At 58.8% G+C, this 21,685-nt stretch overlaps 2 protein-coding genes and 1 long non-coding RNA gene across 17 annotated transcripts, besides 11 other annotated features; 1 reads left to right on the plus strand and 2 right to left on the minus strand.

The window, feature by feature from the left end:
• On the plus strand, window positions 73-10,943 carry CACFD1 (calcium channel flower domain containing 1). Of its 8 annotated transcripts, none has more exons than NM_001242369.2 (6): window positions 73-282; window positions 3,578-3,650; window positions 5,417-5,542; window positions 8,016-8,123; window positions 8,435-8,559; window positions 8,658-10,943. In NM_001242369.2, the coding sequence occupies exons 1-6, from the start codon at window positions 162-164 to the stop codon at window positions 8,804-8,806; spliced, it is 702 nt and encodes a 233-aa protein (NP_001229298.1). In that variant the 5' UTR covers window positions 73-161; the 3' UTR covers window positions 8,807-10,943. The 8 variants fall into 8 exon arrangements, with proteins under 8 accessions (NP_001229298.1, NP_060056.1, NP_001229299.1 ...); XM_011518181.3 differs by lacking the exon at window positions 73-282 and adding an exon at window positions 536-2,314; XM_024447398.2 differs by lacking the exon at window positions 73-282 and adding an exon at window positions 536-1,343.
• Window positions 289-588: a silencer, noted in NCBI's record as "silent region_20461". NCBI's record gives its function as "represses an Ori minimal core promoter by ATAC-STARR-seq in GM12878 lymphoblastoid cells {active_cell/tissue: GM12878}" and the evidence as "EXISTENCE:reporter gene assay evidence [ECO:0000049][PMID:35858748]".
• Window positions 2,531-3,087: an enhancer, noted in NCBI's record as "H3K4me1 hESC enhancer chr9:136327558-136328114 (GRCh37/hg19 assembly coordinates)". NCBI's record gives its function as "activates a minimal SCP1, AML or CMV promoter by ChIP-STARR-seq in naive H9 embryonic stem cells {active_cell/tissue: H9 hESC(naive)}" and the evidence as "EXISTENCE:reporter gene assay evidence [ECO:0000049][PMID:30033119]".
• Window positions 3,265-3,324: an enhancer, noted in NCBI's record as "active region_29242". NCBI's record gives its function as "activates an Ori minimal core promoter by ATAC-STARR-seq in GM12878 lymphoblastoid cells {active_cell/tissue: GM12878}" and the evidence as "EXISTENCE:reporter gene assay evidence [ECO:0000049][PMID:35858748]".
• Window positions 6,332-8,662, minus strand: LOC124902295 (uncharacterized). The gene is made up of 2 exons (XR_007061831.1): window positions 8,567-8,662; window positions 6,332-8,337 (listed from the first exon to the last, which is right to left on the minus strand). It is a non-coding gene; the product is annotated as an uncharacterized LOC124902295 (long non-coding RNA).
• Window positions 8,700-8,859: an enhancer, noted in NCBI's record as "active region_29243". NCBI's record gives its function as "activates an Ori minimal core promoter by ATAC-STARR-seq in GM12878 lymphoblastoid cells {active_cell/tissue: GM12878}" and the evidence as "EXISTENCE:reporter gene assay evidence [ECO:0000049][PMID:35858748]".
• Window positions 8,940-8,989: an enhancer, noted in NCBI's record as "active region_29244". NCBI's record gives its function as "activates an Ori minimal core promoter by ATAC-STARR-seq in GM12878 lymphoblastoid cells {active_cell/tissue: GM12878}" and the evidence as "EXISTENCE:reporter gene assay evidence [ECO:0000049][PMID:35858748]".
• Window positions 9,060-9,109: an enhancer, noted in NCBI's record as "active region_29245". NCBI's record gives its function as "activates an Ori minimal core promoter by ATAC-STARR-seq in GM12878 lymphoblastoid cells {active_cell/tissue: GM12878}" and the evidence as "EXISTENCE:reporter gene assay evidence [ECO:0000049][PMID:35858748]".
• Window positions 9,570-9,689: a silencer, noted in NCBI's record as "silent region_20462". NCBI's record gives its function as "represses an Ori minimal core promoter by ATAC-STARR-seq in GM12878 lymphoblastoid cells {active_cell/tissue: GM12878}" and the evidence as "EXISTENCE:reporter gene assay evidence [ECO:0000049][PMID:35858748]".
• A 245-nt stretch (window positions 10,944-11,188) lies between the features above and the next one.
• On the minus strand, window positions 11,189-19,194 carry SLC2A6 (solute carrier family 2 member 6). 8 transcript variants are annotated; one of them, NM_017585.4, is made up of 10 exons: window positions 19,063-19,194; window positions 18,349-18,511; window positions 17,130-17,336; window positions 16,332-16,431; window positions 15,495-15,706; window positions 15,056-15,208; window positions 14,075-14,183; window positions 13,510-13,695; window positions 13,200-13,345; window positions 11,189-12,271 (listed from the first exon to the last, which is right to left on the minus strand). In NM_017585.4, the coding sequence occupies exons 1-10, from the start codon at window positions 19,152-19,154 to the stop codon at window positions 12,116-12,118; spliced, it is 1,524 nt and encodes a 507-aa protein (NP_060055.2). In that variant the 5' UTR covers window positions 19,155-19,194; the 3' UTR covers window positions 11,189-12,115. The 8 variants fall into 8 exon arrangements, with proteins under 8 accessions (NP_060055.2, NP_001138571.1, XP_011516491.2 ...); NM_001145099.2 differs by lacking the exon at window positions 13,510-13,695; XM_047422705.1 differs by lacking the exons at window positions 11,189-12,271; window positions 13,200-13,345 and having other exon boundaries at window positions 13,575-13,949.
• Window positions 18,724-18,783: an enhancer, noted in NCBI's record as "active region_29246". NCBI's record gives its function as "activates an Ori minimal core promoter by ATAC-STARR-seq in GM12878 lymphoblastoid cells {active_cell/tissue: GM12878}" and the evidence as "EXISTENCE:reporter gene assay evidence [ECO:0000049][PMID:35858748]".
• Window positions 18,944-19,593: a silencer, noted in NCBI's record as "silent region_20463". NCBI's record gives its function as "represses an Ori minimal core promoter by ATAC-STARR-seq in GM12878 lymphoblastoid cells {active_cell/tissue: GM12878}" and the evidence as "EXISTENCE:reporter gene assay evidence [ECO:0000049][PMID:35858748]".
• Window positions 18,944-19,705: a biological region, named in NCBI's record as "H3K4me1 hESC enhancer GRCh37_chr9:136344231-136344732".
• Window positions 19,204-19,705: an enhancer, noted in NCBI's record as "H3K4me1 hESC enhancer chr9:136344231-136344732 (GRCh37/hg19 assembly coordinates)". NCBI's record gives its function as "activates a minimal SCP1, AML or CMV promoter by ChIP-STARR-seq in primed H9 embryonic stem cells {active_cell/tissue: H9 hESC(primed)}" and the evidence as "EXISTENCE:reporter gene assay evidence [ECO:0000049][PMID:30033119]".

Genomic DNA, 21,685 nt, shown 5'->3' on the forward strand with positions numbered 1-21,685 from the left:
TAATGAGCACCCGCCTCCCTTCGGGCGCGCCTCGCCGCAGCCTGAAAGCCCCGCCCCCTATGCTAATATGCTCCCTCTCCCACAAGGCAGCGCGCCGGCTCGGACGCGGCCGGCTACCGAGCCCTTTGTGAGGGCTGTGAGCTGCGCCTGACGGTGGCACCATGAGCAGCTCAGGTGGGGCGCCCGGGGCGTCCGCCAGCTCTGCGCCGCCCGCGCAGGAAGAGGGCATGACGTGGTGGTACCGCTGGCTGTGTCGCCTGTCTGGGGTGCTGGGGGCAGTCTGTGAGTATCCAGTCGGGGAGAGGGGCCGGCCCCGCCGCGCATGCGCTCCTCGCCCTGCCCTGCCCCGCCCCGCCCCGGCGGCCCCAGGGGAAAGGACCCGCTGGGGGTCGGGGGTCTGCCGGGCGCCTCCCGGGGCGGAGGAATGGCGGGGCCGCCGGGAGCCGGCGTCCTGGGGTTGCCATGGTTACCCGCTCGGGCCTGGGCGCCTTGGTACCCCGGGCTGGGCTGGGCTGGCGCTTCTGGGAACATTCCCGGAGGGACCAGAAACCCCAGGGCGGGGGGGCGGCGGGGGCGGGGGTGGGGCACCGGCCTGGGGCACGTGACTGAGCCCTCCCCCCGCTCCCCAGGGGCTTTTGTGAGACTTTCTCGGTGATGCTCACGGGGCGCATGCCCACCTGGCCCGTACTAAAGCGTCAACTGTTGACTTGGGCGTAGGTGACGGCAGCCACATTGCTAACCTTTGGGCAAGGATTGTTTGTAAGGGAGGCGGGTGCACGGCTGGCTAGATTTCTGGCAGGAAGCCACTGGGCGGAAGTTTGCTGAGGGTCAGGTGGTGTCAGGGCACAGGTGGCCCCTGGGGCCGCGGGGCAGTGAGCTGAGGGCCCGGCCTCTCCCTGGGTCCTCTGTCCGCTCTCATATCTCCCCCGTTGCTGCTGCCTTAGCCGCCTGTCACCGGCCTTCCTCCCCTTCTCCGCACGCATCCCAGTCACAGACCCTGACCTTAGGCTGCCAGGGAAGCTAGGCTCTTAAGCACAGCCAGAAAAGGACAAAGAGGGAGGCAGGTCAGCTCCAGGAGTGAATGGAAGCCGTACAGCTGGCCTTCCAGGGAAAGACAAGTCTGTCTGAGTGATACCCTTTCCTTTCCTGTCTGCCCTCAATCTTGTGGATTACTGGAGTGGGCAAGGTCTTAGAGAATGTCTGTCGAGGATGTCTGCAGGTTTTAAACAGTGCCTGCCTGGCAGAGAGGGCTAGCTCTGGGCCTGGGCAGGGCAGGCCCCATCAGCAATCCTGCCAGAAGGACCACCTTTTCAGGGTCACCTTGGGTTCCACAGCCTTTCCAGGTGGGTAGAGGGTGGAGGGAGGTTGAGGCAGGAGGGTGCTGGGCTAGGAGTGTGCTGCCCTCGCTAGGCATGCCCTTATCCAGAGGCAACGGATACGGTAGGGCAGGCCCTACCCCCAAATCACAAAAAGGCCCCGAGTTTGTGTCACTGCTCTTCAGGGCAAGTACGCTTTTGACTTTGTAGGAGAGACTGGTGGGTTTGAAGTTAGGCATTGGATCCAGTCCTGTCATGTCTGGTTAGCTGTTTTCCCTGCAGATTAGGGTGGGCAGTGCAGTGGGGTGACATGGTCAGTGGTGAGAAAGGAAAGGTCCTGACTATGGCCTGTAGGCCACACCTCCTTCCTTCTTGGTCAGTGGCCCTGCCGACTCCCAGATTTGCTGTGGAGTCTTACTCAGTTCTGTGCCTCTCAAAGTGAGGTACCTCTGCCTTTCCTGGGAGTTCCTGGGGCTCTGTTGGGTCTACAGATGAAGCTTCAGGAGAAACTTGTGGCATTGCCCTGAGTTGTCAGTTGCATCTGCAGATTTTTGGGGGCATGGTTATGTGAACATCAAAATGCTGTATTACAGGGTAGAATGCAAAAATGCAGGGTGTTTTAGAGATGCGGCAGGAGTTCAGACAAGGGTTGTGTGCCGGGCTGGTCCTTGGGTAAGGTTTTCCTCCTCCAGGGTGAGGGGATCAGAGAGAGTACCTGGAGAGGGTCTACCCTGGGTCCTAAGAGCATCTGGAGGTGATACCTTGGGAGGGGACAGGATTGCATGGTGACAGCCCCCTCACGTGGAAGATATCAGCATTGAGGCCCCCAAGTGGACATCCTCCAGCCCTTTATTGCTAAAGGATTCCTGGCTGGAGCCTGCTGGTCTGGCTTGACACCTGGTCCTCCCCCAAGGCTGGCTGTGGGTTGGACAGCTGGGGTAGGGTTGGAGCTGGAGGCCAAATGCTGACTGCAGCAGGAAGCACAGCCGAGCTGTCAGGTGAGGCCAGGCACAGCAGAGAGGCAGGGAGCCGTGTCACCCTTTGGGCACTCTGCTAGGACAGGCAGGCCCCTGTGTACCTGTGGTTCTGGAACACCTTGCTGTCTGAAGGCAGATGTCTAAGGCTGTGCTGAGGAGCAGTGCAACGCTTGAGTCCTTTGTTTTAGAAGGAGACCCTGGGGGCCCATGAAGCAGTCCCATTGCAGTTCGGCTCACTTTATCTGGCTTCTTTGCCTGCTGTCTGCATAAGGTTACCTGGGAAAATGGAAAACAGCAGAATTCCAGACCCAGGTGGAGGGATCAGGTGCAGAGGAGCTGCTGCAAGTTTAATGAGCTGGGTGCTAATTGCTGCCTCCAAGGCCCCCCTCAGTGATGGCCTGGGCTTGCTCCCTGCCCAGCAGCCACCTCCTTGGACCTGCCTTGAAGGCTCCTGGAGTTCCTGGTGAAGCCAGGCTGCAGGCTGTGGGTGGAGGAGGGAGTTGGGTGCAAGAGACCCTGCTGGTGAGGTGCAGCTGGGAGGCGGGGCGTCAAGGCTGCACATCTGAGCATCAGAGAAGCCACGTTCTGGGGTGGAAAACGATGCCCCCTCCCCTTCCTGGCCTTATGGCATTTCAGCGGTGGGTGGCTGGGCTGTGGGACTTGCTCATGTGCAAGAGGAGAAACGGGTCTAGGAAGATGAAGATAGCGTGCCAGTGGCACAGGGCTGGTGAGGAAGTTAGAGCTGGAACTGCTGCTCAGTCTTACCTGGTTCCCATCTCTGTTCTGAGAGAGGCACCCCTTGTCCCAACCAAAATCCAAGCCACATTTTCTGAGTCAGAGGACTTCTTGTGTGGCCGGCCCTGTGAATGGTGGCAAGTGACCCTTACCGAAGGCTGAGTCTTGGGGGAGCACTGGCCTGAATCCTTGAGGGACATTCACTCTTTAATCCTTCTTTAATCCTAACCTCCCTTTGAGGTGGATATTGATGTAGCTGGGGTCAGAGGGCCAGCTCCTCTGAGCCCTGAAACGGGGAGAGGATGCTGTGAGATCCACCTGCCACCTTGCTGCCACCTTGCTGTGGGGCCTGGGGCAAGCAAGGCACTGCACCTCTCTGCGTCTCCTCACCTGTCTCAGACGATAGAGGGCAGGCTTCTGGGTGCTGTGAGAACTGTGTGCTGAGCATCCGCAGAGACTCTCGTCCTTTCCAGTCATCTCCCAAGGCCGCCTTCCCAGCGGGCTCCGCCTGCCTCCCTGCTGACTCCTGCCCGTGTCTCTTGTTTCAAGCTTGCGCGATCTCTGGCCTCTTCAACTGCATCACCATCCACCCTCTGAACATTGCGGCCGGCGTGTGGATGATGTGAGTAATGCATGGCCGTCCCACCCCGGGGGTCTTGCTGGTCGGGAATCTGCTGGGCACCTCCCGGGACAGAGGAGTGGCAGGGGCCGTGGGAGTGGGCATCCTTGTGGTTGCCATGGCTACTGGCTCCAGCCTGGGTGCCTCGGGCATGTGAGTTTCTGGCCACAGCATGCGGCTTCTTCCCCTTCATACCCCCACCATGTTTAGTTTCCTAATGAGAGGTCAAGGCCCAGGGAATGCCCACCCCGGCCTTCATCCGGTGCAGGGGCAAGGCCATCAGTGCTCCAGACATTTCTGGAGCATCCACTGAGACTGCAGATGCCAAGTCCACTATACTGGGGCCCTCGCCCTCTGGGAGCTCCCAGGACTGGGGTGGGGAAGGCTGTTCATTGGGGCTGGCTGAGGACTGGGTTGAATGGTCTGCTGGGAGAGGGCACTCGAGCTCGGAGCTGTGCCAAAGATAGATGGGAGAGGCGGGTCGGAGTTGTCACGGGAACCCGTGGTCAGAACACCCTCATGTGCGTTCCATGCCCACCTCCTGCCAGGGTTTCGCCATCCCATCGGAAGGGAAGGCGGGGTGAGGGCAGGCCCGTGTGGCTTGGGGCACGTGAGAAGTGGCGGTGCACCAGGAATTGATGAGTGTCCTCATGGGGCTTGGTGCCTTGAGGGGTACAGAGCTAGACGAGATTCAGGTCCCGTCCCCAGTGACCTATGGCCAGTGGAGAGCCTCGGGGGCCTGCTGTGGTGGGGTCCTCAGTGCTTGTGCTGGCCAGTGGTGGATAGGGAAGGGGGATGGACAGAGAGGCGCCCAGCCCAGCTTCAGGGGGTGGAGTCGGAGCCTGGCCGAGTTTGAAGTGGAAGGGCTGGCCCAGCACAGAGTGAGCCCGTGCTTGGAGGCCTGGTGTGTGGGAGGCTCGGGGCGGGTGCAGTGGTTAAGAGTTGTGAAGAGAGTGCCTGCCCCGGGCTTGGGGTGGCTCTTAGGTGTCCTGAGCCTGCATTTCTGTTACACAGGCATAATGATGGCACTTTTCTCCCAGGCCTGGGGACAGAAGGGCCTGGCTCAGTGTCTGCTAACTGATTGTTATCCATGCATAGAGAATACCAAGACCACAGCAGACACCTTCCGTCACCAGTGGCTTAGCTGTTCCCACCCCAAACATAGGGCTGGATGCAAGGACTTGCTAAAGTTCTTCCTCCCCAGCGTGGGCTTCCCCTGGGTGTCCCCGGGCCTGGGGCCGGTGGCATCAGGTGTGTGGGCAGCTCTCCGTGACTGTTTTGGGACTGCGTGGCTCCAGCTCTCTGCCTCCCTGGTGGGGCAGCCTTCCTGGTGCTGGTGCCACTGACGGCTTTTGGTGGCCATGGCGATAATACTAACAGCAGACAGAGGACACAGCTGCCAGTGCTCCATCTGTGGATGAACCTGCCGCAGCGTTGTAGCAGTGCCATGATGTGGGGTCCCCTTTCCTCCATGTCACACAGGAGGAGGATAAAGGGAAGCAGAAGCCCAGGGGCTTCCCTCTAGGAGTGTTCAGTTCAGCTGGGGAGATGGGTGTGCAGGAGCAGCTGGGGAGTGCTGGAGTCTTCAGCAGAGGCTCTCCGAGGGGTACGAGCAGGTGCCCTGGAGCAGCCGGGCGGCTTCCCAGAGGAGGAGGGATGAGGGCAGGAGGGTGAGGGAGGTGGCATTCCTTATGGCACTGGCACTGGGGGCCGCCCTCATCCTCCTGGGATTGTCAGTCGCTGCTCTTCTCCTGCCCTGGTCCCTGCAGCATGAATGCCTTCATCTTGTTGCTGTGTGAGGCGCCCTTCTGCTGCCAGTTCATCGAGTTTGCAAACACAGTGGCGGAGAAGGTGGACCGGCTGCGCTCCTGGCAGAAGGCTGTCTTCTACTGCGGGTGAGGGGTTGCTGGGCAGGGTCCCGTGACACAGTTCCCCAAAACCCCACTGACAAAATAGGACCCAAAAGTCAGGTGAGGGTGGGCAGTGTATTCAGTTCCTCTCTGTGGAAGTGTAAACTGGGATTGCCTTTGTGCACAGTGATTTGCTCATAGCTGCCAAAACGTGCCCCAGTGGTTCTGCGCCCAGGAACTCAGCTGTCGCTGTGCCGTAGTCACTGGAAGGTTCAGAGGTATATGAGCATGTGTGGCAGCATCCGTGCAGTGGAGAGAAAGTGGGAAGCGTCTGGAATTTTGGTCCGTCCACTGGGAGTTGTTAACCAGATGATAGTAGGTCTGTAGGACATGTTTCTCTGCAGCCTTTCCGAAGAGTGGGTTCATCTAGATGTCCTGACGTGAAGGGGGAGAAGCAGGTTGCAGAGCAGAAAATGTGGTTGCCCTCTAAATACACTTGTTAAAAATTTTCCCATTTCTAACAATGAAATCAATATGTAATACTTCTCCTCTCAGTCATAAGAAGGAACTAATTTCAGGATAAGCTTAATACACGGAAACTCCTAGAATAATGCCTCTAGTGCATAGGAGGCTGGTGGCAGCTGTATTCATTATTGTCTAGGTTATCTTTAGAAAGAAGTCTAGATGCAAGCTTGCTTCCCCTTCAGAGAGGCCCGGTAGTTTTGATGGTAAGAGCACAAGCCACATGCTTAGTTCTGGAGCCATCTTGTGCCATATCTAAATCACGAAGAACACAGGATCACAAAGCTCTTATCTACACGCAGTGTCATGTCCTTAGGGGTTCAAAAAACTGTATTTTAAAAATGCTAGACATCATAGAAATTCATTCACAATAATTTGGAATATAGAACAATGTTACTCGAAGCCCGCTGCCTGCTAATCTTCTGATGTGTGTGCTTCCTGTCTGCAGGCATTTTTTAAAAGCCTGCTTTTAACACAGTTATAACCATTATGAATAAGTTTGTATCCTGCCTTTTTTCACTTAGAGTAATGATATAAGCATTTGAACATCACCACAGACTTTATAACATTCTTTCAATACAGGAATATTCATTCAGCTGGATGTATCATGCTGTTCTTAATTTCTTAACTGGTGTAAATCGAGGTGTGATAAACATGTGTCTGCTAAAACTTTTTCTGTGTTTATGATGATTTCCTTAATATCTATTTTCAGGTGTGGAATTACTGGGTCAAAGATTCTGATCATTAAAAATATTTTAAGATGCGTGGCTACGTTGCTTTCCAAAGAGGTCCCTTGAGTCTCTCCCCCGCCCCCACCCCAGCCCAGGGCTGCACACCACTTCACATTCGCATTTATCTATTTGTTATCTAAGAGGGAAAAATATTTTCCCACGTGTTTCCATTGCATTTTCTGATATGAAAATTTTCGAGTTTACTTTTTAACCTGTGGGAACCTCAGTGTTCTGCTTAGCAAGTTCAGTGTGTTTTCTGTATTAAAGATTTCATGATCCTTGGTTGTATTTCCTGCAACTATTTTTCCAGGCTCTTGTTTGCCTTTAATTTTGTTTTTGTCAGAAGGTTCCCCGCCGTGGTCTTTTTCTTTGTAATTTCTATTATTATTTTATCATTTTGAAATTTTTTAACGACAGAAAAATCTCACAACCACATGTCTACAAGAATGGAAACTGAGGTAGAATGCAATTGGCCACGAGTCTTGTCCTCCTGCACAGGCAGCCTCCTCTAGGGAGGCGACAGGACAGAGCGCTGGCCTCCAGGCTGCAGGTATCCTCCTGGCCCAGTTAGCCCAGGAATTGCTGCTGGCCTGGAAATTCCAGCCAGGATGGAGAATCAGCCCCGGGGACGCTTAAGCCCCAGTGGACCCTGCCACCAGGTGACGCCAAACTGCAGCAAGGTCTGGGCCGACCCCGCAGACCCCGCAGCCTGCAGCCCTCCCATGATGAGACCCTGTGTTCCATGTGGTTGAATTCCAGGGACCTTACTTGTGGCGATGTGGCTGGTGTTACTCTATAACTCAGAGCATTTATTTAGTGCCTGTGGTGGTCAGCATTGTGTAGGTAACATGACTGACCTCGGACAAGCTTTGATCCCCTCTCCGCGGTGGAGATTCCGAGTAACTTGCCCGCGAAGCTAGTAGGTCCTGGATGGGAAGCCAGATTCTCTGTCACAGGCTCTTTCTGGCCAGTTTTTCTCACAGTGAGGGCACTGGACCATCTCGTTACTGTTTAGCTCTTTTTGGGATCACAGACCCCTTCAAAAATCTGATGAAAGCTTTGGATCCTATTCCCAGAATGGAACAGTTTTACAGACAAGTTCAGGGCTGATGAAGGACTTTCTGAAGCTGTGTCTCAGTTGATTTTTGGGGATCCTTCCTGTGCCCTGGGTGTCTAGGAAGGATGCTGGGCCGAGTCTGGGAAGCGGGGAAGGATGTGGTGGCTGTGGGGCCGGAGTGCCCCCTTGACCTCTGCTTTCCCCCCAGGATGGCGGTCGTTCCCATCGTCATCAGCCTGACCCTGACCACGCTGCTGGGCAACGCCATCGCCTTTGCTACGGGGGTGCTGTACGGACTCTCTGCTCTGGGCAAAAAGTGCGTCTGCCAGGCCCAGCCCCTGGGCAGGGCCTTCCTCCCTCCGCCCCCCGAAGTCCTTCAGTGAGGAGGATCTGAGAGTGGCCCCTTTTAGCTAGTGGAGACCGAGGCAGAGGTCCCAGTAACTCATTGGTGCCTCCAGGGCTCAGCTCGAGTGGGTGAAGACAGAGGACTTACAACACTTCTGCGTGGCCCAGTCTTGCCCCGTCACGGCCTGCAGCAAGGATAGCAAAAACATGGCTGGTGGGAGCCCCTTCCCCTCCCAGGTCTGCACCGGGCATTGTACTCAGTTGCCACCCTCTCTCCTGCAGAGCCCAGACTGAGGCTGGTTCCTTCGCAGCCCAGCATCCCAGGGAGCCTGGGCCATTCTCAGAGGGGACAAGACAGGCCTTTGCCACCCCAGCAGTTGTCTCTGGGGAAATCAGAATGCCTGCAGGTCACACCTGGGTCACAGGGCAGGAACCGGGCAGTGGTCAGGAGGGCTGTGGGCATGGGGCTGGTGCTCCACGTGACGCTGCCTCTCTCTCTCCCCAGGGGCGATGCGATCTCCTATGCCAGGATCCAGCAGCAGAGGCAGCAGGCGGATGAGGAGAAGCTCGCGGAGACCCTGGAGGGGGAGCTGTGAAGGGCTGGGCGCCCCTCCCTCCCTGTCCCCTCTTCTGGCTCTGTGTGGGTCCAAGTGAGGCCTGGACTGTCCACGCTGAGGCACAGCCTGGAGAGGGGCCTTTGCACGTGTCCCTACACCTGGAGTCCTCTGCTCCTTTCTCCAGACTGGCTTAAGCCAGGAGCCACTGGCTGCTGGTGTGAGGGTCTGGGCTGCTGGACTTGAGGCAGAGCCTGCAGCAGCTGTGTGGACACTACCCAGCCCTACTCCTCTGCTGGGTGGGTCTGCAGATCTCACACCACAGACAGGGCTGCCTGTGACCTGCTGTGACCTGGGAGCAGCTTCCCCTGGAGATGCTGGTCCTGGCTTGAGGGGAGGGGCAAGTGGGACCCTGCCACCTGGGCACTGAGCAGAGGGACCTCCCCCAGCTCTCTTAGCAGGTGGAGCCCCAGGGCCTGGGACAGCCTGCCGCTGCCAGCAACCTCCCACTGCTGCCTAGGGTGCAGCGCCCACTGTCACCCTGCCTTCTGAAGAAGCCCACAGGGCTCCTAAGGTGCACCCCGGTACCTGGAACTGCAGCCTTGGCAGTGACTGGACAGCTGGGTGGGGGATGCTCCCTGCTGGCCCTGGGAACCTTGGACAGGCCACCTCAAGGCCCCTCGGCTGCCCCTCCTCCCTGGGCCTGCTGGGGCCCCTAGGTTCTGCCCATCACCCCCCGCCCCTGCTGGCCTTGGTGCTAAGGAAGTGGGGAGAGCAGGCTCTCCCTGGCACCGAGGGTGCCCACCCTCTCCCTGGTGTGGCCCCGTCAACATCAGCCACAGCCCAGCCCCATTAGTGGGTTAGTGGGTCTGACCTCAGCCCCACTCAGGTGCTCCTGCTGGCCTGCCCAAGCCCTGCCCTCAGGGAGCTTCTGCCTTTTAAGAACTGGGCAGAGGCCACAGTCACCTCCCCACACAGAGCTGTCCCCACTGCCCTGGGTGCCAGGCTGTCCGGAGCCAGGCCTACCCAGGGAGGATGCAGAGAGCTGGTGCCCAGGATGTGCACCCCCATATTCCCTCTGCCCTGTGGCCTCAGCCCGCTGGCCTCTCTGACCGTGAGGCTGGCTCTCAGCCATCGGGCAGGTGCCTGGTCGGGCCTGGCTTAGCCCAGGTGGGGTTTGGCAGAAGCGGGCGGGTGTGGAAGATATTCCATCTGGGGCCAACCCCAGGCTGGGCCTGCGCTGAGCTTCTGGAGCGCAGGTACTGGGTCTTGCTAAGTGAACTGTTTCCCAGGAACACCTCTCGGGCCCATCTGCGTCTGAGGCTGGGAGTGGCATCTGAGGCCGGGAGTGGCATCTGAGGCCAGGAGTGGCAGGCTGGTGGGCTGGGCGTGGGGTTTTCTGGGCCCTGCCCAGTACTGCCCTGGGGACTTGGTGGGCTCCTGGGTCAGCAGCATCCCACCCCTGGGAGTCTGGCCAGCTGAGCCCCAGGGTGGCAGGGGCATTATAGCCTGGTGGACATGTGCCTTCAGGGTTCCTCCGGGGCCACCTTCCTCAGGCCAGTGCTGGGTTCAAAGGGCTGTGTGTGTGTGTGTGTGTGTGTGTGTGTGTGTGTGTATGTATATGTGTGTGGGTGCACACATCTGTCCCATGTATGCAGTGAGACCTGTCTACCTCCCACAAGGAGCAAGGGCTCTGCCCGCCCTCTGCTCATTCCTACCCAGGTAGTGGGACCCCGGGCCCCCTTCTGCCTGGCTTGCCTGCTTCTGCCCTTTCCAGAGGGGTCTCACTGACAGCCAGAGACAGCAGGAGAAGGGTTGGCTGTGGATCAAGGAAGGCTGCCCCTGTACCCTGTGGGGAAATGGTGGGTGCATGGCTGGATGCAGAGGTGGAAGGCCCTGGGCCACAGGCGAGAGTGGGCGTGTCACCTGTCCCAGGTTCCCAGCAAGTCTGCAGCTGTGCAGTCCTGGGGTCCCTGACCCTGTCGCCCAGGGGGCGTGCTGTCCAGCAGGGGCCCTGCCTTGCAAGGAACGTCTCTTCCGGCGGCTGGGCCGCTCCTGCCTGGTCTGGGCTGTGTGTGGCGCCCTTTCCTCCTTGTTTGTTCCTCTGTGTTCTGTGTGCGTCTTAAGCAATAAAGCGTGGCCGTGGCTCGCGTGCCTGCCCTCTGCTCCCTTCTGCCTTGGTGCCTGTGTGTGAGTGTGGAAGCCAGGCAGGAGCCGCTGGCCCAGGAAATAACTACAGGTCCTGTCCCGAGGCTGCCCCCAGCATCCCAGACAAGGAAAGTGACCTGCCCAAGGTCACACAGCTAGAAAGAGCCTGTTAAGGGTGGGCCTCGCAGTGGGCTTCCCCTCACTGCAGCCTTTTCCCTGCCCTGCTTTTGCTATGGATCAGCAGTCAGTGGCCCTGGCAACCTTGGCTGGTTCGGGTCTAGCCTGGCTGCTGTGGGGGCTCCTGGAGTAGACCCCACTCTTTCCTCGCTAGGACTACAGGTCCAGTTCCTTTATTTTTACAAAAGGGTGAACACAGTTTGCAGATAGGAGCTGCCTGTTCCCAGAGGTTGGGCTGGGGCAGGAGGAAGTGGCCACGCCAGGTCCTTTGCCCTGGCTTTTTTTTTTTTTTTTTTGGCAGGGGGTGGGGACGGAGTTTCACTCTCGTTGCCCAGGCTGGAGTGCAATGGCATGATCTCAGCTCATTGCAGCCTCCACCTCCCGGGTTCAAGCAATGCTGCCTCAGCCTCCCAAGTAGCTGGAACTACGGGTGTGTGCCACCACACCCAGCTTTTTTGTATTTTTTAGTAGAGACGGGGTTTCACCATGTTGGCCAGGCTGGTCTTGAACTCCTGGCCTTGGGTAATCCACCTGCTTTGGCCTCCCAAAGTGCTGGGATTACAGGCGTGAGCCACTGTGCCCGGCCTGCCCTGGCTTTTTAAGTCCAGGATGTTCCCTGTGGTGCCCATAAGACTTGTGAGGGCAAAGCCGGGTCTTCCTTGCACAGCCAGATGCCACCAGATCAGAGCGCGATGATATGACTACGTTACTTGGCTGCCTCCAGCCCTGTCCTCTCAGTCCTCCCCGTAGCCTTCTGTGGGGCGTGTCCTTCACGCAAGGGAAAGGGACTAGGCCTGAGGTCACCCAGCAGGGCCGTGTCCCTGGATGCAGGGTTGTATGCACTCCTGCGGCCCATGGCTACGTGCAGCACTGTGGGCTGCCTGGGCTGGGGCTGTGGCTGGACAGCAGTGCTACCTGTCCCGAGCCAGGGGCACCCGCTGCTGAGGCCCCATCACACTGCTCTTCCTGTGCTCTGGCTGGTGGCAGGGATGACTGCTGCCTCTTGGTCCCAGGGTGCAGGTTTGTAGCCAACACAGAGGCCCAGCCACTGGGGGTTTGGCCCCCTCCAGGCGGGGACCTTGACCTAGCGCAAGAAGGACCTTCTCCCCGTGCGGAAGAAGGACTCGATCTGCTCCAGGGACCGTCCCTTGGTCTCGGGCACACAGCAGCCTGTGAACACCAGGCTCACCAAGCAGATGGCCGCGAAGAAGAAGAAAGGCACCTGGAGGCCGAAGGTGCTCTGCGGGTGAAGAGCGGGGCCGGGTCACAGGGAGAAGCTCCAGGGTCCTCCTGCCCCAGAGGAGCTCGTGGGCGCTGCTGGTAGTGACCAGCCCTGTGGGGCCTTCATCTGGTCCTTCCTGTGTTCAGAGACCGCCCCCCCACACCAGGGCTCCCCCACTGTCCCCAGGACAAATCCGAAGTAGCCCTTGAAGTCTGCATCCCGTCTGCCCCTCGGCCTTCCTCAGGGGCTGGGCCCTCTGGCGTCAGCTCAGGTACCCCCTCCACACCCCCTACCCAGCGCTGGCATCCCAGCTGTTCCATGCCGCGGCCTGCAGGAGGCCCGCCCTGCAGCCTGGTGGGCACGCAGGTTCTTCTTGGACCCTCTAGGCTGATGGACTCACTCTGGGTTGCCTGCCCTCCCCCAACCCCCCTGCCCTGACCACTGCAGGGACAGCTTAGGCGCTGGCCTAGGCTGCCCTAGCCAGCTTCTCCCTCATGGGAACTTACTCTGGGCCTCACAGATTCTGGCTGGTCACAGGGCCCGTAGTTTTGAACCAGGAGGCAGGGGGAGTGGGTGGGGTTGAGGGGGGAGTGTGGCTGCTGCTGAGACCCAGCGCCCAGGAGGGCGGGAGATGAGGCACGGTGGGGAGGTGGCTTCCGGGGCCCCTGGCAGGGTCCTGGGCCATGTCCTGCCCTGGCCCAGGAGGTAACCTGACTTCCCAGAACAGTTGCCTACGCCCGTTCCTGTTTCTTATAATGAAGAGCGTTTGCTAGGCTATCACGTGACCACTCTGGGGTCTCTGAGTTCAGGGGGTGTGTGCTCATCTCCTAGGGTCACTGAGAGTTAGGGTCCTGACAGCAGGCCTTGGCACAGCCCCTGGCACTGAGAAGGGTCCTGGCCAGTCAGAGAGGGCCTAGGGGCCTGGGGCCTGGGGCTGAACACTCACCACCACTGGCAGGAAGGACTTGGTGAGGACGAAGGCGGTGAGCCAGCTGGCCAGCACGCAGAGCCCTGAGGCCACGCCACGGGCACGCAGGGGCAGGACCTCAGACATGAGCAGCCAGGTGATGGGACCCCAGCCCACGGCGTAGCCTGCTCGGAGGAGGAGGCAGGTTCAGGCCCTGTGGGGTGACTGGAGGCGGCTGTGTCTGTCTCCGCTGAGCTGCTGGAGACCCCCCTCTCCAGCCACCCCAGACACATCACCCATCCCTTAACACCCAAGACAGCCTGCCCCTCTGAGCCACCACCACACCTACCCATGATGAAGAGCATGGTGGCCAGCAGGGGCACCAGGGTGAGGTAGCCAGCGGGTGCTGCCAGGGGCTGCGCCAAGTCCCCCCAGGACTCGCTTTCCAGGCCCGCAGTGCTGTTGGGGCTCAGAGGCCTGGGGCCAAAGTGGATGTACAGCCCCAGAGTCAGGTTGGCAGCAAACATGATGGCCGCTGTGGACAGACAGGTGGCCTCGTGGGGCCAGGACCCTCTGAGCCAGCTGTTTCTCTCAGAGCTCCTTCTGCAGAGCCCCTTGATACTTGCGTGGTCCAGCTCGTGTCTGGGACTAGAGACCCCCAGCAGGGCAGCAAGCTCTGTCTCCAGCCGCGTGTTAGGCTCCCACCGTGGAGTGTCACAGCCAGTGTGTCCACTCGGAGCCCCAGCGGACCTTTCTGGACCACTGGCCTGGGCCAGGGCCCTGCCGATGCTAGGGAGGCAGGTGCTCTGCAGTTCCCAGCCACACAGCCCCACCCCGAGGCAGGCCTGCACACCCAGCCCAGCCCTGACCCATGCGGAGGAGTGGGGCAGGAGGGCTGCCTGCAGGGTGCTTACCTGAGACGAAGAGCAGCACCTTGCGGCCTGCGAGGTCCATGGTGAGGGCGGCGATCAGCACGGACAGGAGCCGCACGGCCCCAACGATGGCTGCGTCGTCCTTGGGGGGCTATCGGGGGGAGACCACCAGGGCTGAGGGACCTGCCTGCTGTTCCCATCCCCCTCCAGGACCCAGCTTGTCCCGGCAGGCATTGCAGGGGCTCAGGCCAGCAGCTCAGTGCAGTACTGAGTGGCCTGGCACCTGCAGCGTGCTGGGCATCTATACTGTCCGAGCCTATGGGGCTCCTGGGCAGGGACACATCTGCTCTGCCCACCACTATGCCCAGCTGGCACAGAATCCAGGCGTGATGATGACTTGCTGAACCGTGCTGTTACTAATCTTCAAATCTCATCTCACTTTGAGCCTTGGGGCAGGCTGATGGAGATGTGCTGCTATCTTCATCTTGCAGAGGAGGAAGTTGAGGTTCAGAGGGGAAAGTGACTTCCCTCATTAAGTGGCAGATGCCACAGGGCTCTGAACCTGGGGTCTGTGGCCTCAAGGGGTCCACGTTTCTATAAAGCTGGTTTCCTTTGTAATCCCATGTATTTTATTTAATTTTTAAAATTTCTATATGTTTTTAGAGACAGGGTCCTGCTCTGTCACCAGGATGGAGTGCAGTGGTGAGATCGTGGCCACTGCAGTCTCACACTCCTGGGCTTAAGTGATCCTCCCGCCTTGGCCTCGTGTTGGGATTTTGCCAGTATTTTATTTTAAAACACTTAAGCTTATCTTAAAAACATTCTGAGAACAGGTGAAGGCACTGGAACTGTCTCCACAAGGCCCAGATCTCAGATCTTGCTGTGGCATCCCTGACACCTGGCACAGAGCAGGTGTGGGTAAGACCAGGGGTTGGGTAAGTGCAGGAGCAGGCCCTGCCTCCCCTGCCCTGCCAGCCTCCAGGGGACCCCGTGGGTGGGCGCCGGCCGGGGCTGGGCTCTCACCAGCAGGACAGCGGTGCTGTCGAAGATGGACTGCAGGTAGACCAGGATGGGCGTGATGCCCGTCAGCTGCTGCAGGAGGCGCATCAGCAAGGCCACGGTGATGGGCCGGCACACGTGTGGGGCCCGTGCCTCAGCCCACGATACTCGGCTGCTCTGAAACACAAGGCCGCCGCTGAGGGCGTTGGGCCAGCCTCTCCAGCAGGCGCCATCCTGCCCTGGACCGCCAGGGGTTGTGTGGGAGACCTCCTTTTTCCCTCCTCCAGGAAAGAACCAGCTTACCAGGCCACCCAGGCTCTGGGAACAGCCCCCCACCCCAACCCAGGCACTTGGATTAGTGGGAACTACTGTGGTCCTGTCTTCCAGGAAAAGCCTCCACGGCCACACACAGCTGAAGTGCTGGAGGTGGGCCTGCCCGGTTCGGGCGCACACCCTCCTGCACCTGTCTCCGGACGTTGTCCTGGATCTGCTCGAACTCCCAGTGGACATCGACGTCCGTCCCACGCAGCCAGGCCAGCGCCCGCAGGGCCTCTTCGTCCCTGCCCCGAGAGAGCAGGAAGCGCGGCGAGTTGGGCATGAAGCTGAGCAGCAGGATCATGATGAGCACAGGCGCCTCCCCGGCCACAGCCAGCCAGCGCCACGGCAGCAGGAGGCCTGGGGGCGAGGGGTGGGTGAGGGGCCAGGTCCAGGCCTGGTACAGCCCCTTCCCTCTGGAGCCTCTGAATAACCTCATCTGCCCTTCAAGGTCTAGTCCAAGGGCCATCTCCTACAGGAAGCCTACCCTGATTGCCCCAGGCAGGGTGGGGCTGCAGGGATTGCTCAGCCCCTGGCACATAGTGGGAAGTCCTTGGAAAGTCTTAGGGCCAGGGCAGGATGAGGAAGGGGTAGGTTGGGCAGGCAAGGCCCTAGGCCTCCACCCAAGACCTCCACGCCCCCTCAACTGAGCAGCTGCACGCACTGTGATTTCTTTTCTATCTGGACTTCCCATCTGAGATGGCATTTGATGGAAGCTTTCTGCCGTTAAAAGATAGTCTGGCGACTGTGGGTCCAGGAGAAGCCCTGGCTGCCCCAGCTAGAGACTGGGCCTGTGGCTAGAGGGGCAGGCCCTGCCTGGAGGTGCCCAGCAAGGTGCTGACTGAGTGGGGCCGGGATGCCAGATCTCTTGCCTCTCAGCCCAGGATCTGTTCTGGGACAAATCATTCCCTTTCCACCCACGTCTACCTTGGCGGCACCCACCCCTCCCACCAGCCTGCACACAGGAGTGCGGGGCCATACTTGCCAAGGGCGTAGAGGGACAGGGATCCGAACACTGCCATGAGCTGGGGTGTGGCCCCCAGAGCCCCACGAACGCCTGGGGGAGCAATCTCAGACACGTACACCTGCAAGACACAGCCGCCGCACCAGGTTTTGCTGAAAATACTGGTTCCTAGGCCCGGCCGAGATGGGAGAGTCAGCCCCTGTGAACCCCGGAAAGTGGGAAGTGGAGGCTTTCTGGTGGGGCTGAGTCCTGGTCATGACTCACTGCAAGACCTTGGGCGGCCTGCCTGATCTCTCTCTGTCCTCAGTTTCCCTAACTGTGACGTGGGTGGAAGTACGCAGCTCGGAAATGGGCAGCATGACGCTGGGAAGGAGGCCCGAGGGCTCCCAGGCTTCAGGGCTGAGCAGGTGAGTCCATGCCTCCCAGTGAGTTTTGTCTCCTCTGCTGGGCTCACCACCAGGCCCCGTGTGGAGTACCACATAAGATAAGAAGGTCCCGGGGAGGGTGTAGGGCAGGGACTTCCCTCTCCTACCCATTGCTCAATGCGGATTTTCTCCAATTGAGTAATACATCTGACCGGTCAAGAAACGGGGTAGAAGGCTTGGAAAGTCCAGAGTGGGGGCAGCTGGGGACCTGGAGACAATTTCCCCCAAATTAGCTGCCCTGCTGGGGGTGAGCTGAGGCGCCCTGGGCATCCGCAGGGAAGGCAAACAATTCTCATTGCCCAGAAGGCATGGAGGCTGGGAGGCCTTAGTCAGATGGAGGCTCAGCACCAATACAGAGGCATTGGGGCGCCTGGGTGGGAAGGCCTGGCCTTACCGGGATGCAGGCAGCTGTGAGCCCCCCGGCGAAGCCCGTCAGCGTCCTTCCGAGCAGCAGCATCCAGAGGCCGTGCGCACCCGCCATGAGCGCATAGCCGGCCGCCGACGGCACAGCTGAGAACATGATGCTCAGCTTCCGGCCCAGGAGGTCGTTGAGGATCATGGCACTCAGGCCTCCGGCCGCTGCTCCCAGGGTGAACACGGACTGCAGGGGAAGGGGGTGCAGGGCAGATATGTCTGGGCACTTGGCACCCCAATCTCATCAGAGTCCAGGGACAGCTTCTTCCCTAGGCCGACCCCAGGAGCTGGTCAAGCACTTGGCCAAGTCAAGCACTTGAAACAGGGAGCCTCCTGTCTTCAAGGAACAGCCATTTGTTAGGGATGCCCAAACGGGGAATTCTGCTCTAAGGAAGAGGTGCTGCGCCACATATCCACAGTGGTTCTGTCCAGCCTGATGTTTAAATGTCTAATATTTTAATACAGGAGAATTCTGTGACTTGAAGGTACTGGGCTTTAAGATTTGGAGGTTCTTAAGTTCCCTGTACAGCAGCAACTGGGACCCCCTCTGGACTCTGCTAACTGGTAGTGGGACCTGGGCACATTGCCCAGCCTGTCTGCACCTCAGTTTCTTCAGCTGTCTTATGGGGAGAGCGCAAGTTCTACCTCGTGGCGTTGGCCCTGAGAATCAATGAACGTTCAGTGCCCAACACATGCCTGGCACATAGGAAGTGCTCAGTAAACCTTGGGAATTTTTATCTTAACTACTATGTTAACAACTCTACATATGAGGCTATTAAGATTATAATTTTAGACTCTGGGACTCTGGGATCTTCCTCTCCATCAGCCCACAATCTGTCCTGCGGACTCTCCTTGCCCCAGCCAGTGCCTCTCCCCACTGACACCTGATACCCTTGCCCCCATCCAGCCAACTGTGGGTGTGGGGACCCGGGGAAGCCTCAGCCCCACCTAGTATAGACCCTGACAGCCACCTCCCCACCTGCTCCTTCCCTCACCCTCTCCACTGGCTTTCAGTTCCTCATTTCAGAGGAATCCTGTAGCTTTACCCCACCCACTAGTGGCCTGGATGGCTGGGGGAGGGGGGACCAGGGCCCTGGAGGGACCCCCAAGGTGGAGAATTTGGGAGGTTCCTAGCTGGAGATAAGGCTCAGCAGGTCCCTCCTTCCTGCACCCACCCTCCTCCAGAGGATGGTCCTTACCCCAAACCAGGATGCCTGGGATTTGGTCAGATGCAGGTCAGGATCCAAGGAGCGCTCCAGGGCTGGGATGACAGGGGATGTGTAGACCAGGGCATACCCAAAGCTGAAATTGCCGAGCACTGCGGCGAAGGTGGCCAGGAACACCCTTTTGTTCTGCAGGGTCCTGGTGATGGTGGCGGACAAAAAGACCAGGGTCTCTGAGTCCCTCCTCCAGGGACCATTGCCTTTTCTGAACCCAGTGGCTGCCCGGCTCAGCGGGCAGTGCTAGGGAGGCCTGGGTCCAAGGCCATTCACGTTCCCAGGGCCTGAGCCCCAGCTCCCCTGGGAAATTCCCAGGCCATTGTTAGCTCATCCGCAGTGGCTGAGCCTCTGGTGCTGGGGCCTTTTCTCCGGAAGAGGAGGCTCTGGTTCTGCCCCCAGGGCGGCGGCTGGAGGCTTGCTGTGTGACCTCAGGCAGAACCCCTGCTCGCTGGGGCCTCAGTCTCACTGTCTGTGGCAGTGGGGGGCTGGGCCCGGTACTCTCGTGGATCGTTCCTTCCCTTAGGGGGACCAGTTCCTTAAATAGGAGTAGCGTGTCTGGGACAGGAGGGAGCCAGATGGCCCCTCGGTGGCGACTAGGTCAGGGGAGGCCCAGGGCGGGAGCCTGCCGCCGGCTGGAGGGAACCAGGGCCACCCCCAGGCCCCACCCGCAGCCCCCAACCTAGCGACTCTCACCCGACCCGCGCCCTGTCCCCTGGCGACGGGGGCGGCTTCTCGGGGAAGGTGTCGTAGTCCGGGCCCTCGGCTCCCAGCAGCGGCTCCTGCATGGCCGGGTCTCTCTCGGGGCGAGCGGAGGGCGCTCAGACTGGAGCAGCCGCCCGGGGCCAGCAGCTCCGAGGGCACCGGCCAGGCTCCGCCCCTTGGCCGCTATTGGCTGTGGGACGGCCCTGCAGAGACACGCCGGCCAATGGGGCGGCCGCAGGCTGTCCTGATGCTCGGATGCGGACCCGGCTTCCCCGGGCGCGGCCGGCACCGCGTGCGCCCCCGAAGGTCACGCCCCAAGACAGGATGGGGGTCCCAGGGCGGAGCCCCTGCTGGATCGTCCGGGGCCCCCGCGGAGCGCCGGAAGCGGCTCACCCGGCCCGGCTCTTGCAGGCGTGACTGCGGCAATGCGCGCAGCCCCTGTCGTACTCGCTCCCGCGGGGTGGAAACCGAGGCCCAGAGAGGCGAAGCCGAGCGCCAGGGTCACAGCGAATGCGCACCTCGCTCCTCCTTACGCTCTAGCCCTCCCCGTCGCGTGGCGTCTCAGGGCCACCTCTGCCCTGGCTCTCCCTGGCACCAGGGAATCGGGGTGTGTCAGGGCAGCAGCGGATGTGCGGGACGAAGGAGGCAGGAGGGGCCGGCGAGGCGCTGTGGGCAGCTCCAGTGGGCGAGGTCTGTATCCTCCACCCCAGGCTCTGGTGGTAGAAATAACCTGAGCTCGTGACACGTAACCCAGGTAGTAAGATAACATTGAAAAATAAGAAAAGCAGAAATGGAAAATTCCCGGGAAGACCGTCCTCAAAAAATCCCACAGCAGTTCCACCTCTCCCTTTGGGCCTTTTCGGGAAGAGGACGGAATCACGCCCTGCTCTGTTGGATGGACGTGCCACACACGCTTTTAAACGGAGCCTTTGTTGCTGAGTATTTGGGTCATTTCCCATTTTAGCTATTAACATGGTAAAGCATTTTTAAAAGTTAGAATTCCCTTTTATTATGATTGAAATACAACCATAATAGAACAATAAAATCACATCCATCTCCCGTCAGCCTGACCTTGATGGCGTTTTAGCCTCTTCCAGTCTTTTCCTCATGTGCCTATTTTGCATATTTGCTATTGGGGCCCCCATTAAACTGTGCAGCCCCTTTACGTCACCGTTTTCTTGCCATCAAGATCATAGGCTTTGGACTCAGGCACACCCTGGTATGGTGATCAGGCTGCACAGTCCTCGTGGCCATATATATACGTATATACATATATATGTGTATGTATTTTTACATATCTATATGTGTATTTTTTTTTTTTTTTTTGAGACGGAGTCTCGCTCTGTTGGCCAGGCTGGAGTGCAGTGGCACGATCTCAGCTTACTGCAACTTCCACCTCCCGAGTTCAAGCGATTCTCCTGCCTCAGCCTCCCAAGTAGCTGGGATTACAGGCATGTGCCACCACGCCCGGCTAATTTTTGTATTTTTAGTGGAGACGGGGTTTCACCATGTTGGCCAGCTTGGTCTTGAACTCCTGACCTTGTGATCCTTCCGCTTCAGCCTCACAAAGTGCTGGGATTACAGGCGTGAGTCACCGCACCCGGCCTTCTCTTTTTTTAAAATGTATTTTTTTTCTTTTAAAATCAACTTTAGGCCAGGTGCAGTGGTGTGTGCCTGTAATCCCAGCATTTAGGAGGCCAAGGTAGGAGAATTGCTTGATGCCAGGAGTCTGACACCAGCCTGGGCAACAAAGTGACCCTGTCTCTACAAAAAGCTAAAAAAGTTGTCCAGGTGTGATGGCAAGTGCCTGTGGCCCCAGCTACTCGGAAGGCAGAGGTGGGAAGATTGCTTGAGCCCAGGAGTTTGAGGCTGCGGTGAGCTGTGATCACACCACAGCACTCCAGCCTGGGTGACAGAGGGAGAGCCTTCTTGAAAAAATAAAATACAAGAAAAATCAACTTTGTTAAGCTATAATTTATATACAGTAAAATGAATCCATTTTAAATATAGGTTGATGAGTTTTGACAATTGTATAACCCCAAACACCCCCAATCAAGATATAAAACATTTCCACCTTTTCTTTCTTTCTTTTATCTTTTTTTGAGACAGAGTCTCTCTCTGTTGCCCAGGCTGGAGTGCAGTAGTGCGATCTCGGCTCACTGCAACCTCCGACCACTGGGTTCAAGCGATTCTCCTGCCTCAGCCTCCCGAGTAGCTGGGATTACAGGCGCCCGCCACCACACCTGGGTAGTTTTTGCATTTTTGGTAGAGATGGGGTTTCACCATGTTGGCCAGGCTGGTCTCAAACTCCCAACATCAGGTGATCCTCCCGCCTTGGCCTCCCAAAGTGCTGGGATTACAGGCGTGAGTCATCACGCCCAGCCCATTTCCACCCTTCTAGAAGGTTTCTTTGTGCCTTTCTGAGGTCAACCTCCTTTCCCTGCTCCCCAGTAAACTATTTTTTTTTTTGAGAGGGAGTTTCACTCTGTCCCCCAGGCTGGAGTGCAGTGGTGCGATCTCGGCTCACTGCAAGCTCCGCCTCCCAGGTTCATGCCATTCTCCTGCCTCAGCCTCCTGAGTAGCTGGGACCACAGGTGCCCGCCACCATGCCCGG

This window comes from Homo sapiens, chromosome 9, assembly GCF_000001405.40.
Source record: "Homo sapiens chromosome 9, GRCh38.p14 Primary Assembly".
NCBI lineage: Eukaryota > Metazoa > Chordata > Mammalia > Primates > Hominidae > Homo > Homo sapiens.